Here is a 15,343-nt window from a genome sequence, read left to right as displayed (position 1 = left end):
ATATATTATATATAACTTTTTTTTTATTATGTGTCATACTTTGTTGAAAACGGGACATTTTTAATATAATATAGTTGGGCAATTCTGAATCCTGAAAGCCTATCTTGAAATCGTTGTTTCTATTCTTCTGTTGTTTGTTTGTTTAGCGCTTTGCTGGAGCAATTCTGAAGACTCTGCCTCTCTAGCAGTGTGTCATCACTGATGTCTTTGCATTTTTTTTTTCAATTCCCGTTTTCATTTTTTGAGCCTGGATTCCTAGTGGTTGTCCTTGGGTTGGCATATCTTATTGACTGGTCAGAGTCTATGTTCCAACAACTTGCGAAAATAAGGCTTCCACTCTTTGCCAATGGATTTACCTTTGTGTTGGAAAAAGTATTCAATATCCAGGCAGTTTTCACTCAGGCAAGTTTTACTTTCTGCAGGACTTACTCCCATCTCCTCTACTAGTGAGTCAGCCATGAAATTGTGCATAGCTTGGCCCTTTCCAATTTCCCCTGAGCATGGATGCTACTTCATATATATATGGAATATTCCTGACTACCATGACTATATGGGTGCTTTCGAGACCATTTTGGCTGTTGCATTGTCCACAATTTCATGCTAGGTTTCTGGCTAATCTTCTGATCTGTTGCTTAAAATCACCAGTTTCACAATCTATGTTTAGATGTGATGTTGGCCTTCCCTGTTCATTTGCCACAGATAACTATTGTTTTTGACAATGTACCTAAGCGTGTGGTCTCCCTGCTGTCAGCTACAAATCATGTCATTCTACTTTAATAGGGAAGCTATTAGATTCCTGGCTTGAGCTGTTATGGTAGAATTGCCACAGGCTAGAGCTAGCTATGAGGATGGGAACAGCTCAGCTAAAATGCCACAAATTCCCATTATTATTATTATTTTTTACCATAGCATTAATAGTTTTTCTTTAATAAATTATTCTTAAAGTTTTGTATTCCTTTGGTCATTTTCCAGAATCTTGAAATGATTTTTGACAATTTTGTCTTGTTTTATCTTTGTTTATTGTGCAAAGGATTTGCAGAGCTTATCGTTTTTACCATTTCAGGAGTCTCACTACATTTTCCAAGTTTATTTCTATGAATTTGCTTTTCATTGGCTTTGTAAACTAGATATTTTTAATAAAACATTCTACTCCTTGTCATAGTCACCTTTAGATCCCCTAGTCACTTTTCTTGACCTGCGCCTATCTGCCTAGGCATTTGGCTGCCTCCTGTCCCTATCAAAACATAATCCCCAATGTGATGGTATTAAGAGGTGGGATATTTGAGAGGTGATTAGGTCATGAGGTCAAAGCCCTCATGAATGGGATTGATGTCCTTGTAAAACAGGTCTAAAAAGGTTTGTTTGCCCCTTTCAGTCTATAAGGACACAGCTAGAAGGTACCATCTATAAGGAAATGAACCCTCATCAGACACCAAATCTACCAGTGTCTTGATCTTGAATGTTCCAACCTCCAGAATTGTGAGAAATAAATGTGTTTTTAATAAGCTACTCAGCTTGTGATATTTTTGTTATAGCAGCCTGAATGGACTAAGACAATCATGATCACTCCACACATCTCATCAAGGAGTAGAGAAGAAGTATACTCTAAGATACTGCAAGTATTTTAAGAGTATTTTAAGCAAGACATGTAAAGCTATGCACTTTACCAGAATGCAAAATACCATGCATTCAGAAGCCAAAAATATGAAGCTATTTTTAAACTTTACCATACTTATTTTTTACTGAAGTGTTTAGCATTTTGATGACTGTCCCATATTTTAATAATACTCATATCATAATTTTTTATAATTTTAATGTCAACGTAACTATTTCTTCCAGTGTCTTTACTTTTTAATTCCCTGATTTCTCTATTTCAATAGTATTGTTCATCAACCTGCCTCAGCCACTGACTTTCATCATCATATATTATACTTCAGGATTGCTATCACATTACTCTTCTCTACTCTTATATTTAAGCCTCTCAATCTTTGAATACTCCCTCTTATATTTCTCTTTCCCATTTCCAGACTTTAATATTTTATGCCACCAAGACATTTATCCATTAATTCTTCAATTTTTGCATTGTCCTTTTCCATGTACTCAGTTCTTCCATTGAAAACCACATATCCTATGGTTTCATGATTACCGTCATTCCCTACGAACACCTGCAACTCCCTTGCCATTTTCCCTTTAGTTGCCTCTCTGGAAAAACCTCAAACCTGGTTAAATCCAAGTCATCAAATAATTTGTTCACAACTGCAATAAAGCACACAATGATAGGGCATATTCTCACTTTAGTTCCATAAATCCTGAAACGTCATTATGCTCCCCACTGTCTTGCCTTGCTGACTCATATTTCGCTGATAAAAGAAATCAGAAGAGAACATCCACAAACTCTTGTCACTTGCTCAAACACTTAGCCTGGATACTTAATCATGCACTCTGTTTTCCTTGCCATTACCACGAATGAGATGGTGCTCCAGTCTAACACTAGAATTCCAAACGTGCACATTCACACTCAGCTCCTTAAGGATGTGGCTCTAACAATTCTTGCCCACATCAATCCTTATTAGTTCTTGGCCATCAGCAAATAAGTATTCTCCCATATTAAAAACAAAACAAAACAAAACAAATAAGCAAAGATAATCGTCCTTCTCTCCAGCTAACATGTCGATGTTTTACTTTCACTTATAACGCTCCTTAAAAGGGTCATCGGTATTTACTAATCCCAGTACCACTCCAAATATCTTTTCAGTCTAGTCTTATTTTCATTTTGATTCTGATTTCTATCCCCAAAATTAATTATGCTAAAGGACATTACAACTAACTGAGTTTTAGAGTTCGAATTGGCTTTTATCAGCAATTAATGAACGAGGCATCATCCAGTCTTCAAAATAGGAGCTCCAGGCACAGCAGAAAAGTCGCCTTTTTTAAGGCAGCTTTATCAAAAACAAGGAAGAAGCATAGCTCAAAAAAAGTGGATTGTTTAACATGAGATCACTCTGCTTGTACGGGATAAAACAGAGGGAACGTCATTATATTGGCTCAGGTTGACTGGGCACCTTGGGATTGGTTGCGAGAATCCCCTATTTGTTTTGAAAACTGGACCATTTAGGGATTTGGCTATCATGTTTTCCTTGAATTCTCAGAAGGCCAGATCTTACAAATAAACAACTTAAGTTTAGATGGTCATGTGGATTTTTAGTATGAGTGACTCATTTTAGGCCTGCCATGTTTTCTTTAAGTTTCCACCTTTTGCCAGACTCAGTGATACCGAGCGGTTTGATCAAAATTTAAGGCATTAGTGCCACTCTCAGTCATCATGATGCTGCAGTTTTTTATTTAGTCTCAGAGTGAAATTTTTAAATCACAATTTCAGGATCCATGGTCGATCTTTTCTGTTGCTCTCAATCTTGTTCTAATTGTAGAATTAGATCAACTGTTGTGTGGGGGATAGCTGCAAGCAAGCATTAAGATTCATGAGAGGAGGCAGTGCACTCCGGAGATTACTAGAATAACTACTAGCAAAATTGTACCCAATAATTGGTCATAATTCTTGGTTATAGAGGTTCAGTTTTTGACTCAAAGTCACCATGAGCCAAATCAACTAAAATAACAAAAGAAAAACAAAAGTTGATGGCTAGAACAAACGATTTTTTTTTCTCTGAGTTCAGAGGGCAGTTAGTTGAAAATATTTTCAGATCTGAGCTTAAAGCCTATTTTTTTTCTGGTTTGCAGTTAGGTAGTCCCTGGTTATAGCACCAGGTGCCTTGGTGAACTCTCTGAGTGTCTCGCACATTGGGCACAAAGGTTTTCTCTTAAGATTTACATCAAGTTGTCCAGCTCCAGTTTGTAGGGGCTCCAGTAATAAAGGTAGTTTTCGTTTTTAGTGATTCCAAGTCAGAAAAGTGCAGAAAACTGCAGATGTGAGTGTGAAGGGTCACACACAGATATTGAAGGAAATAAGAAGAATTCAGGATTCAGTTCAGTTTATAGGTGGGTAACAAAACCTCAAAAACAATGAACAGAGCTAGAATCTAATAATGAGGTGGGGGGGCCAAGATGGCCGACTTGAAGCAGCAGCATTCGGAGTCTCCCATTGAAAAAAAGCCATAAGAGGCTTGTGAATCCTTCAGCGGCAACCAGGGTATCCAGGTTCTTTCATCAAAATTGACTAGAAGGCTGGCATGACCCACGGAAAGAAGGAAGAGCAGTGTGGTGTGGCAGCCCACCTGAGAGCCGCACGGGGAAGGGGAATCCCCTCCCCCCAGCCAAGGGAGGCAGTGAGTGAGCACACAACCCAGCTGGGGAAACTGCTTTTCCCACGGAACTGTGAAACCCATGGATCCCACTTGTGAACCCACGCCACTGGGGCCTAGTGTCTCAACCATGGAACACGCAGATTCTTATAGCCTCTCAGCTGGAATATGCTTAAGCCTACCTAACTCCCCAGGGAGGGGCAGCCAGCACTGGCTGAGGCTGCCTGCTGTCTACACCATTTGAGCTCCTTGGGGGAGGGGCAGCAGCCAGCTCTGGGACTAGCAACTGCCTAAGCTCCCTGGGCGGGGGAAGGGCGGCACCCATTTCTATAGTCCCAGGCTGCTCTTTTCCCCTGCTGGAACCAGGAAGGCTGGATGGCTTGTTCCCAAGATTTGTTCCCACTGCCCAACACACTGGCTGTGGCAGTATGCGGCCAGCGTGCCTCTCTAGGTCTAATCCTGACACATCCTCCTCAGTGGGTGGGGCTTCCCTGCAGCATCTCCAATAACTCCAGCCAGAGGCTCAGGGACAGAACCCGGATGTCCCTGAGCCTGAGCCCCCAGGGGGAGGGGCGGCCCCAGTCTCTGTGGACCAGCAGAATTAGCCTCTCCTCCTGGTAGTTCTGAGTTATCCGAGCAGCCCAGATGAATGGGTTTCCCCCTAGTAAAACACACCCTCTCCACCAAGGAACAAAGTCCTTCATTAAACAAGTCCTATTCCCCATGCCACCCAACTGAGTGAGACCTTCCAAGAGGGGTTGTCAGACCCCCTATAGAGGAGTAATCCTACTGGCATCAGGTTGGTGCCCCTCAAGGTCAGAGGTCCCAGAAGAAGGAGAAGGTACCCATCTTGGCTGCTCTCCAGCCTTCTTGAGTGACATCTCCATGCACAGGAGCAAATCAGATGAATAGGGTCTGAAGTGAACCCCCAGCAAACTGCAGCAGCCCTACAGAAGAGGGACCTGACTATTGAAAGAAAAACAAGCCGAAAGTGGCAACAACAGCATCAACAACAAAAGGCCCCCACAAAAACCTCATCCAAGGGTCAGCAGCCTCAAAGATCAAAACTAGACAAACTCACAAATATGAGAAATAATCAATGAAAAAAATGCTGAAAACCCAAAAGCCCAGAGAGCCTCTTCTCCTCCAAATGATTGCAGTGTCTCTCCATCAAGGGCACAGAACTGGCACAGAGGATCATATGGAGTAATTGACAGAAGATGGTTAATAAAAAACTATGATTAGCTAAAGGAGCATGTTCTAACCTAATGCAAAGAAGCTAAGAACCTTGATAAAAGGTCAGAGGAATTGCTAACTAGAATAACCAGTTTAGAGAGGAACATAAACGATCTGATGGAGCTGAAAAACACAGCACGAGAACTTCGTGAAGCATACACAAGTATCAACAGCTGAATTGACCAAGTAGAAGAAAGGATATAAGAGTTTGAAGACCACCTTACTGAAACAAGACATCCAGACAAGAACAGAGAAAAGAATGAAAAGGAATGAACAAAGCCTTCAAAAAATATGGGACTTCATAAAAAGACTAAACCTAAGATTGATTGGAGTATCAGAAGGAGATGGGGAGAATGGAAGCAAGCTGGAAAACACACTTCAGTATATTATCCAGGAGAACTTCCTTAACCTAGGAAGACAGGCCAACATGCAAATTCAGGAAATACAGAGAACACTGTTAAAGTACACCATGAGAAAATCAACTCCAAGACACATAGTCATCAGATTCTCCAAGGTTGAAATGAAGGAAAAACTGTTAAGGGCAGCCAGAGAGAAACACCAAGTCACCTACAAAGGGAAGCCCATCAGACTAACAGCAGACCTCTCAGCAGAAACTCTACAAGCCAGAAGAAATTGGGAGCCAATATTCAACATTCTTAAAGAAAAGAATTTTCAACCCAGAATTTAATATCCAGCCAAATTAAGCATCATAAGTGAAAAAGAAATAAAAGTCTTTCCAGACAAGCAAATGCTGAGGGATTTCTTTACTACCAGGTCTGTCCTGCAAAAGCTCCTGAAGGAAGCACATAATATGGAAAGGAAAAGCCAGTAGCAGCCACTGCAAAAACGCACCAAAACTTAAAGACCCATGGCACTACAAAGAAACTGCATCAACCAGTGTGCAAAATAACCAAATAGCACCATGTGACAGGATCACATTCACACATAGCAATAGTAATCTTAAGTGTAAATGAGCTAAATGTCCCAATTAAAAGACACAAGCTGGCAAATTGGATAAGGAGTCAGGACTCATTGGTGTGCTGTACTCAGGAGACCCATCTTACGTGCAAAGACACACAGGCTCAAAATAAAGGGATGGGGAATATTTACCAAGTAAATGGAAAGACAAAAATGGTTGTATTCCTAGTCTCTGACAAAACAGACTTTAAACCAACAAAGATCAGAAAAGACAAAGAAGGACACTACATAAGGGTAAAGGGAACAATTTGACAAGAAGAGCTAACTATTCTGAATATATATGCACCCAATACAGGAGCACCCAGGTTCATAAAGCAAGTTCTTAGAGATCTACAAAGAGACTTGGACTCCCACACAATAATAGTGGGAGACTTTAACACCCCACTGTCAGTATTAGACAGATCAACAAGATAGAAAATTAACAAGGATATTCAGGAGTTGATATTAGCTCTGGACCAAGTGAACCTAGTAGATGTCTACAGAACTCTCTACCCTAAATCAACACAATATACATTCTTTGCAGTGCCACATGGAACTTATTCTAAAATCAACCACATAATTGGAAGTAAAACACTCTTCTGCAAATGCAAAAGAACTGAAATCATAACAGTTTCTCAGACCACAGTGCCATCAAATTAGAACCCAGGATTAAGAAACTCACTCAAAACCACACAATGTCATGGAAATTGAACAACCTGTTCCTGAATGACTACTGGGTAAATAATGAAATTAAGGCAGAAATCAAGAAGTTCTTGGAAACCAGTAAGAACAAAGAGACAACCTAACAGAATCTCTGGGACACAGCTAAAGCTGTGTTAAAAGGGAAATTTATAGCACGAAATGCCCATGTTGGAAAGCTAGAAAGATCTCAAATTGAGTCTAACATCACAATTAAAAGAGCTAGAGAGGCAAGAGCAAAGTAATTCAAAAGCTGGCAGAAGACAAGAAATAACTAAGATCAGAGAAGAATTGAAGGAGAGAGAGACATGAAAACCCCTCCAAAAAAATCAATGAATCCAGGAGCTGGTTTTTTGAAGAAAATTAACAAAATAGACAGACTGCAAGCTAGACTAATAAAGAAGAAAAGAGAGAAGAACCAGACACAATAAAAAAATGATAAAGGGGATATCACCACTGACCCCATGGAAATACAAGCTACCATCAGAGAATAGTATAAACACCTCTATGCAAAAAAAACTGGAGAGTCTAGAAGAAATGGATAAGTTCCTGGATGCATACACCCTACCAAGACTAAACCAGGAAGATGTTGAGTCTCTGAATAGACCAATAACAAGCTCTGAAATTGAGGCAGTAGTTAATAGCCTGACAACCAAAAAAAGCCCAGGACCAGACAGACTCACAGCTGAATTCTACCAGAAATACAAAGAGGAGCTGGTACCATTACTTCTGAAACTATTCCAAACAATTGAAAAGGAGGGACTCCTCCCTAAGTCATTTGATGAAGCCAGCATCATCCTGATACCAAAACCAGGAAGAGACACAACAAAAAAAGAAAACTTCAGGCCAATATCCCTGATGAACATCAATGCAAAAATCCTCAATAAAATACTGGCAAACCAAATCTAACAGCACATCAAAAACCTTATCCACCAAAATCAAGCCAGCTTCATCCCTGGGATGCAAGGCTGGTTCAACATACCTAAATCAATAAATGTAATCCATCACATAAACAGAACCAAAGACAAAAACCATATGATTATCTCACTAGATGCAGAATAGGCCTTTGATAAAATTCAACATCCCTTCATGTTAAAAACCCTCAATAAACTAGGTATTGATGGAATATATCTCAAAATAATAAGAGCTATTTATGACAAACCCACAGCCAATATCATACTGAATGGGCAAAAACTGAAAGCATTCCCTTTGAAAACTTGTACAAGCCAAGGATGCCCTGTCTTACTACTCCTATTCAACATAGTATTGGAAGTTCTGGCCAGGGCCATCAGGCAAGAGAAAGAAATAAAGTGTATTCAAATAAAAAGAGAGTAAGTGAAGTTGTCTGTTTGCAGATGAATAATTTTATATTTAGAAAACCCCACCATCTAAGCCCAAAAGCTTCTTCAACTGATAAACAACTTCAGCAAAATCTCAGGATACAAAATCAATGTGCAAAAATCACAAGCATTCCTTTATACCAACAATAGGCAAACAGAGAGTCAAATCATAAATGAACTCCCATTTGCAATTGCTACAAAGAAAATAAAATACCTAGGAATACAGCTAACAAAGGATGTGAAGGACCTCTTCAAAGAGAAATAAAAGTCAAGGAAATAAAAGAGGACACAAACAAATGGAAAAACATTCCATCCTCATTGATAGGAAGAATCAATATCATGAAAATGGCCATACTGCCCAAAGTAATTTATAGATTCAATACTATTCACATAAAACTACCATTGACATTCTTCACAGAATTAGAAAAAACTATTTTAAATTTCATATGCAATCAAGGAAGACCCCATATAGCAAAGAACATCCTAAGCAAAAACAACAAAGCTGGAGGCATCAAGCTACCTGACTTCAAACCATACTACAAGGCTACAGTAAGCAAAACAGCATGGTACTGGTACCAAGCAGACATATAGACCAGTGGAACAGAACAGAGACCTCATAAATAACTCTACACATCTACAACCATCTGGTCTTTGACAATCCTGACAAAAACAAGCAATGAGGAAAGGATCTCCGATTCAGTAAATGGTGCTGGGAAAACTGGCTAGCCATATGCAGAAAACTGAAACTGGACCCCTTCCTTACACCTTATACAAAAATTAACTTAAGGTGGATTAAAGACTTAAATGTAAAACCCAAATCCATAAACACCCTAGAAGAAAACCTAGGCAATACCATTCAGGAAATAGGCATGAGTGAAGACTTCTTGACAAAAATACCAAAAGCAATTGCAACAAAAGCCAGAATTGACAAATAGGATCTAAATAAACTAAAGAGCTTCTGCACAGCAAAAGAAACTATCATCAGAGTGAACAGGCAACCTACGGAGTACAGAGTGGGAGAAAATTTTTGCAATCTACCCATCTGACAAAAGTCTAATATCCAGAATTTACAAGGAACTTAAACATATTTACAAGAAAAAAAACAACCCCATCAAAAAGTGGGCAAAGGATATGAACAGACACTTCTCAAAAGAAGACATTTATCTGGCCAATGAACATATGGAAAAAAAAGCTCCACATCACTAATAATCAGAGAAATTCAAGTCAAAACTACAATGAGATACCATGTCACACAAGTCAGAATGGCGATTATTAAAAAGTCAGGAAATAATAGATGCTGGAGACGCTGTGGAGAGATAGGAACACTTTTACACTATTGGTGGGAATGTAAATTAGTTCAGTTATTGTGGAAGACAGTATGGAGATTCCTCAAGGGTCTAGAACCCAAAATACCATTTGGCCCAGCAATCCCATTACTGGGTATATACTCAAAGGAATATAAATCATTCTACCCTAAAGACACATGCTCATGTATGTTTATTGCAGCACTACTTACAATAGCAAAGACATGGATCCAAGTCAAATGCCCATCAATAATAGACTGGATAAAGAAAACGTGGTACATATACACCATGGAATACTATGCTACCTAAAAAAGGAACGAGATTGTGTCCTTTGCAGGGACATGGATGAAGCTGGAAGCCATCATCCTCAGCCAACTAACACAGGAACAGAAAACCAAACACCACATGTTCTCCCTCATAAGTGGGAGCTGAACATTGAGAATGCAAGGACACAGAGAGTGGAACAACACATACCAGGGCCTGTTGTGGGGTGGGGGCTGAGGGGAGGGAACTTAGAGGATGAGTCAATAGGTGTAGGAAACCACCATGGCACACATATACCTATGTAATAAACCTGCACATTCTGCACATGTATCCTGTTTTTTTTTTAGAAGAAGAAATAAAGGAAAAAAAAAGAGAATCTAATAATGAGTGTATATACTCTATTTCTGACACATGTTCTTTTTCTCTCTACAGCTTCCCCATTTCTACTAAAGATAATCAAGGAAAGACCATTGGGTTTGCAGAATAAATCTAGTCTCATTAAACTTGGGCCTAATTATTATGTAAGTGCAGTGAGAAACATGTTTCTTTATGGTACAATTTTTCATGTCTATTTACAAATCCAAATATTTTTAGCTTCTTTATACCATATAAAAACAAGATGCCAAAAGTATATAAACTTTGTGAACCACAAAGTATCTGAGATAGGTACCAATCAATTTAGAAAGTTTGTTTTGCCAAGGTTAAGAACATGCCCTTAACACAGTCTTAGGAGGTCCTGATGACTTGTGCCCATGGTGGTTGGGGTACAGCTTGCTTTTATGGATTTTAGGGAGACATAATACATCAAATGATATATGTAAGATTTACATTGGTTCAGTCTGGAAGGGCAGTAAAAATTGAAGCAGGTTCTTCCAGGTCATAGGTAGAGTTAAAAATTTTCTGATTGTTAAATGATTGAAGGAGTTATCAATAGAAAGAAATGTCTGGTTTCCAATTAAGGGTTGTGGAGACCAAGGTTTTATCATGCAGATGAAGCCTCCAGGTAGCAGGCTTCAGAGAGAATAGATTGTAAATGTTTCTTATCAGACTTAAGGTCTGTGCTGTTGTCTTTTCCTGAATTCTAAAAAGCAGGAGGTATACTGAGGCATGTCTGACCCCCACCCCTCTTCCCATCATGGCCTGAACTTGTTTTTCAGATTAATTTTGGAATGCTATAGCCAAGAGGAGGGGTCATTCAGATGATTGGTGGCCTTAGAATTTTATTTTGTGTTTACAGCTTACACATATGTTCAGAAATTGATGTTTCACCATTTGCCTTATTTGAAAATGATCTAGATAGTCCATAATTATCTATTCTTCAACTTAACTTAGCAAAACTTTAAAAGTGTAAATTACCAAAGATATTTAGGGAGATTTTTTTTTAGTAGATAAAGTATAACACAAAACAAAGCTATTCATCATTGAATTATTTTTCTTGTTTATGAATTGCATAATATAGAGATAACATGAAATTATTATATTAGGAAACCTAGGTAGAAAATGCTGACAACTCCAAAGACTTGTCTATTTTGGTAGCAGGACAAGCCGCAGACAAAACCCCTCAGACACCGAGTTAAAGAAGGAAGCGGTTTATTCAGCCAGGAGCATTGGCAAGACTCCTGTCTCAAGAGTCAAGCTCCCTGAGTGAGCAATTCCTGTCCCTTTTAAGGGCTCACAACTCTAAGGGGGTGTGCATGAGAGGGTCATGATTGATTGAGCAAGCAGGGGGTATGTGACTGGGGGCTGCATGCACCAGTAACTAGATCAGAACAAAACAGGATAGGGATTTTCACAGTGCTTTTCCATACAATGCCTGGAATCTATAGATAACATAACCAGTTAGGTCAGGGGTCGATCTTTAACTACCAGTCCCATGGTGCGGTGCCAGGCTGTCTTCCTGTGGATTTCATTTCTGCCTTTTAGTTTTTACTTCTTCTTTCTTTGGAGGCAGAAATTGGGTAAAGGACTATATGAGGGGTGGTCTCCTCCCTTATTTTAAATAAACCAGCATGCTATAGCTAACTTTTCATGCACTGAAGTTATCCACAAACAAGTGTACATGAAAAGCATTTGAATTCATTCCCATATTTCTAGCAGTTTTAGGAATATTTCATTTATATAAACACTTATTTTCTTCAAGTCAATTAACTAGAGATCCTTAACATATATTAATGTTGGCAATACCATTTAAAGATAGAAAAATACTCTGTACATATGACATACAAACATACATAAATACTACAAGGCATACATCAACATACACAGAAGCAGGTCTTGCAGTTTTTAGTCTAAAATTTTAGCCATATGCCTGATACAGTAACACACAAAACTCACTAGTTCATAAAAACACATGCAAATCTGGATCAGAATTATATTTGTAGCTAATGGAACAAGATTATTCACCCAGATGGCTAAAACAGACTTTTAAGATTTTTTATTTGTCACTTTTCCAATTGTCGTTGCCCTCTTCCTTTTTAGACAACAAATCTTCCAAATTTCCATTTCACTTCTCTATCAAACTATTTCTCTGACGAGGCTATTTCTGCCCATTGTTGGACATTATGGGCTGTATAGACTTTCCTTAGTCTGAGGAAATGTGACATGGCAGCTTTAGTTAATGTCCCTCAAATAGAAATTCTCCAGTTCGAAACCCATCAATCTTTATATTTTTATGTTCTCTCAATCAAATTGTAGCCCAAGTGAGGGCTTTACCAATAGATTTTGGCACCACAGCACATGAGGCTGCCATACCAAGGAGTCTGGAAATTTCTTTTGCCCTGATCATTTTACCTACTCTTATGCAAAAGACTTTGAGTTCTTATCAGTGAGTTGAGCCAAAGGACCCTTGTCCTTTTTTCAGTCTTGATCTTGATTAACCTACCTGACCATTGCCTCAAGTGGTTACAAGTCAGGTTTCTCATTGTAATCTCTACCTTCTAGCTTAAAAAATTCTCCCAATGGATAAATAGGGCAGACTTGCTTAACACCCTTTAATGTTAGGGAAGTAGCCAAGGTGTCCCTTTGGTCCATCCATCCCTTGGTAATGTTACATTTAAACTTTTGTTTTAACCCAATTAAGGTCCATTTTATTCATTCTATTTCTTAATAACAATCTACAGATGGCTGCTCTCATTTTGCATTTCTAAAGGGATGGCATTTAAGTATGATAAGGTAGAGAATTAACATTTAAAAGGCACAGAACGTAGACTTCAGACCTAAATACTATCATTTGCTGAAATAAATAAGGTGGGGGTAAAAGTCCATTAAGACAACATGATCGTGAAAAGAATCTCAAACATAAATGCAAGGCTTGCTATGTAGATTTAAGCCAATGCCTTTTCTCCCAAGTAAGAGTTTCTATGATTTTAGTCCTGGTGCAGGGAGGGAGGATACCTTATACATGGAGATTTTATGCAACTTTTTCTTATAAAGAGGTCTCAAAATAACTGACTAGAGTTAGTCATTGTGCCATAAAGGCATATTTTGGCTATATCACTGTCTTCCCGACCCAGTTTGTGTTTTTTAACTAGATTACTGAATTCAGAGTTAAACCTATTACCACGGAGGGCAGAAAAAGCATTTTCTATGTATGGGCTCAACATGCATAGACCAGAATGTTTTAAAAATAGTGCTTTTAATCTTAACTTATAGTCAGAGGCTGGTTCATTCTTTTTCTATTTATAAAATTGATTTGCAGTCCTTTCACAATTTTTTTTTGACAAAATACTTTGGGGATGGTTTCTTGGGATTTTCCAGTAGAACAGCAATGCCTTTAGCCACTGCTCTGAGCTCAGGATCTTGACCAAGATATAAAGGTGGTTAAAGAAGCACATCTGATTGATTTGAGGGCCTAACTTCACAAGGCATTTATCAACCTTTATTTTGTTCTTTGAGGAGGGAATTCGACTAAGTGAAAATATTAGTAAGCAGAGGAGGAAAGAGAGGGACAATAGGGGTTTCATCAGTCTTACAGTCTTTTGTAAATAATATTTTAGTGAAGCTATTTTAGAATCCTGAGGTCTTATAGAAACTACTTCATATCAATGAAAATAGATGTACCATTCTCTATGCCTAATTTGGGAGTGCTTATTTTCATGTGCACCTCTTAGATGGATGATTTTGTGCAATTATAACATTCCTCATAAAAGCCATTGTAATTCTAAATTATGTTTAGTAAGGTTTTGCCATTTTTTTTTGTAAATATTTACAGCTTCCAGGAACATACATTTTGAGCATAAGAGAAGCAGGTATACCAGAAGATAGAGTACTGGATACTTTAGAATGTAAAGATCCCATTCTTGTATTGTGCCTTGGGTTTCTTGGAGCTGAGAAAAAAAAAAGCCCAAGATGGTAGTGCTACACTGCTGTGTTGTGTGATATTTTATAGTATTCTTCACTGAATGGAAATTTTTCTTGAAGCTGGCAAGTGGCAAGTGCACTAGTGTCAAGCTAACCCATTCTGTCACCAACTTATCCTAACACAGGAATCCTAGTTTTAGGTGGCAGACACTTTAACAGTTTTTAAGTGTTTGATCCATGCCCATCAGTCAAGTTGTGGCTCGGCTCTGAGATTCCTTTGACCAATATAGTCAAAGATTTTTTTTACCTTTGCATATAAGATAAGAAACAAGGAGGAGAGAAACAAAATCCCTGTGAATGTGGCAACAGCTATCTTTTACCTCTAAAGCTTCAGCCCTTGTCTGTCTAATGGAGCACCACAAAACACCCAAAGGTCATATGCTTTGCTACAACACAAAAGGACCTTGAACTGGAAAGCCAAAAGTATCAGAGAGCTCAACGAAGAGAGTACAGCTGAAATTCAAGAGGAACTTACTGACAAATTCTGGGTTTGGTGAGGAAGGCAGAGAAGTCTAAAGGAGCCAGCAGTCACCTCATCTGCATACCTAATGGGTTACAGGGATAGCCACAACCCTCCTTCAGATACCATCTTCAAAGACTGTCAGAGAGCAGAATCCTAACAAGCTGAGTTTCAAAGATCTAACTGATTTTCAATACAATTCATGAACCAGGCAGCACCCAGTAGACATAAGCTGTGTCAGGCAGATTTATCAGAAATGAGGAAACAGCAATAGTGCAAAAATAGACTTGTTAGCATCAGGCTACATTCTTTATATGGGTTAAAGCAGAGAGGACATTCTTACTATGCTAACTTAGATTAACTGGGCCCCTTTTGATTGGTTACTGAGAATGTTCTGTTTTTATTAAAACTGGCTGGCTTGGCTATTATCTCTCCCTGGATTCTTGAAAGGTCAGCTCTTTCAAG

The 15,343-nt window shown here is 38.7% G+C and overlaps 1 protein-coding gene across 6 annotated transcripts in view; it reads left to right on the top strand.

The window, feature by feature from the left end:
- Nucleotides 1–15,343, top strand: part of ADAM2 (ADAM metallopeptidase domain 2) — a 94,493-nt gene that overhangs the window by 31,742 nt on the left and 47,408 nt on the right. The window lies entirely within an intron of this gene.

This window comes from Homo sapiens, chromosome 8, assembly GCF_000001405.40.
Source record: "Homo sapiens chromosome 8, GRCh38.p14 Primary Assembly".
Taxonomy (NCBI): Eukaryota; Metazoa; Chordata; class Mammalia; order Primates; family Hominidae; genus Homo; species Homo sapiens.
This window is presented reverse-complemented; position numbering and strand designations above follow the sequence as displayed.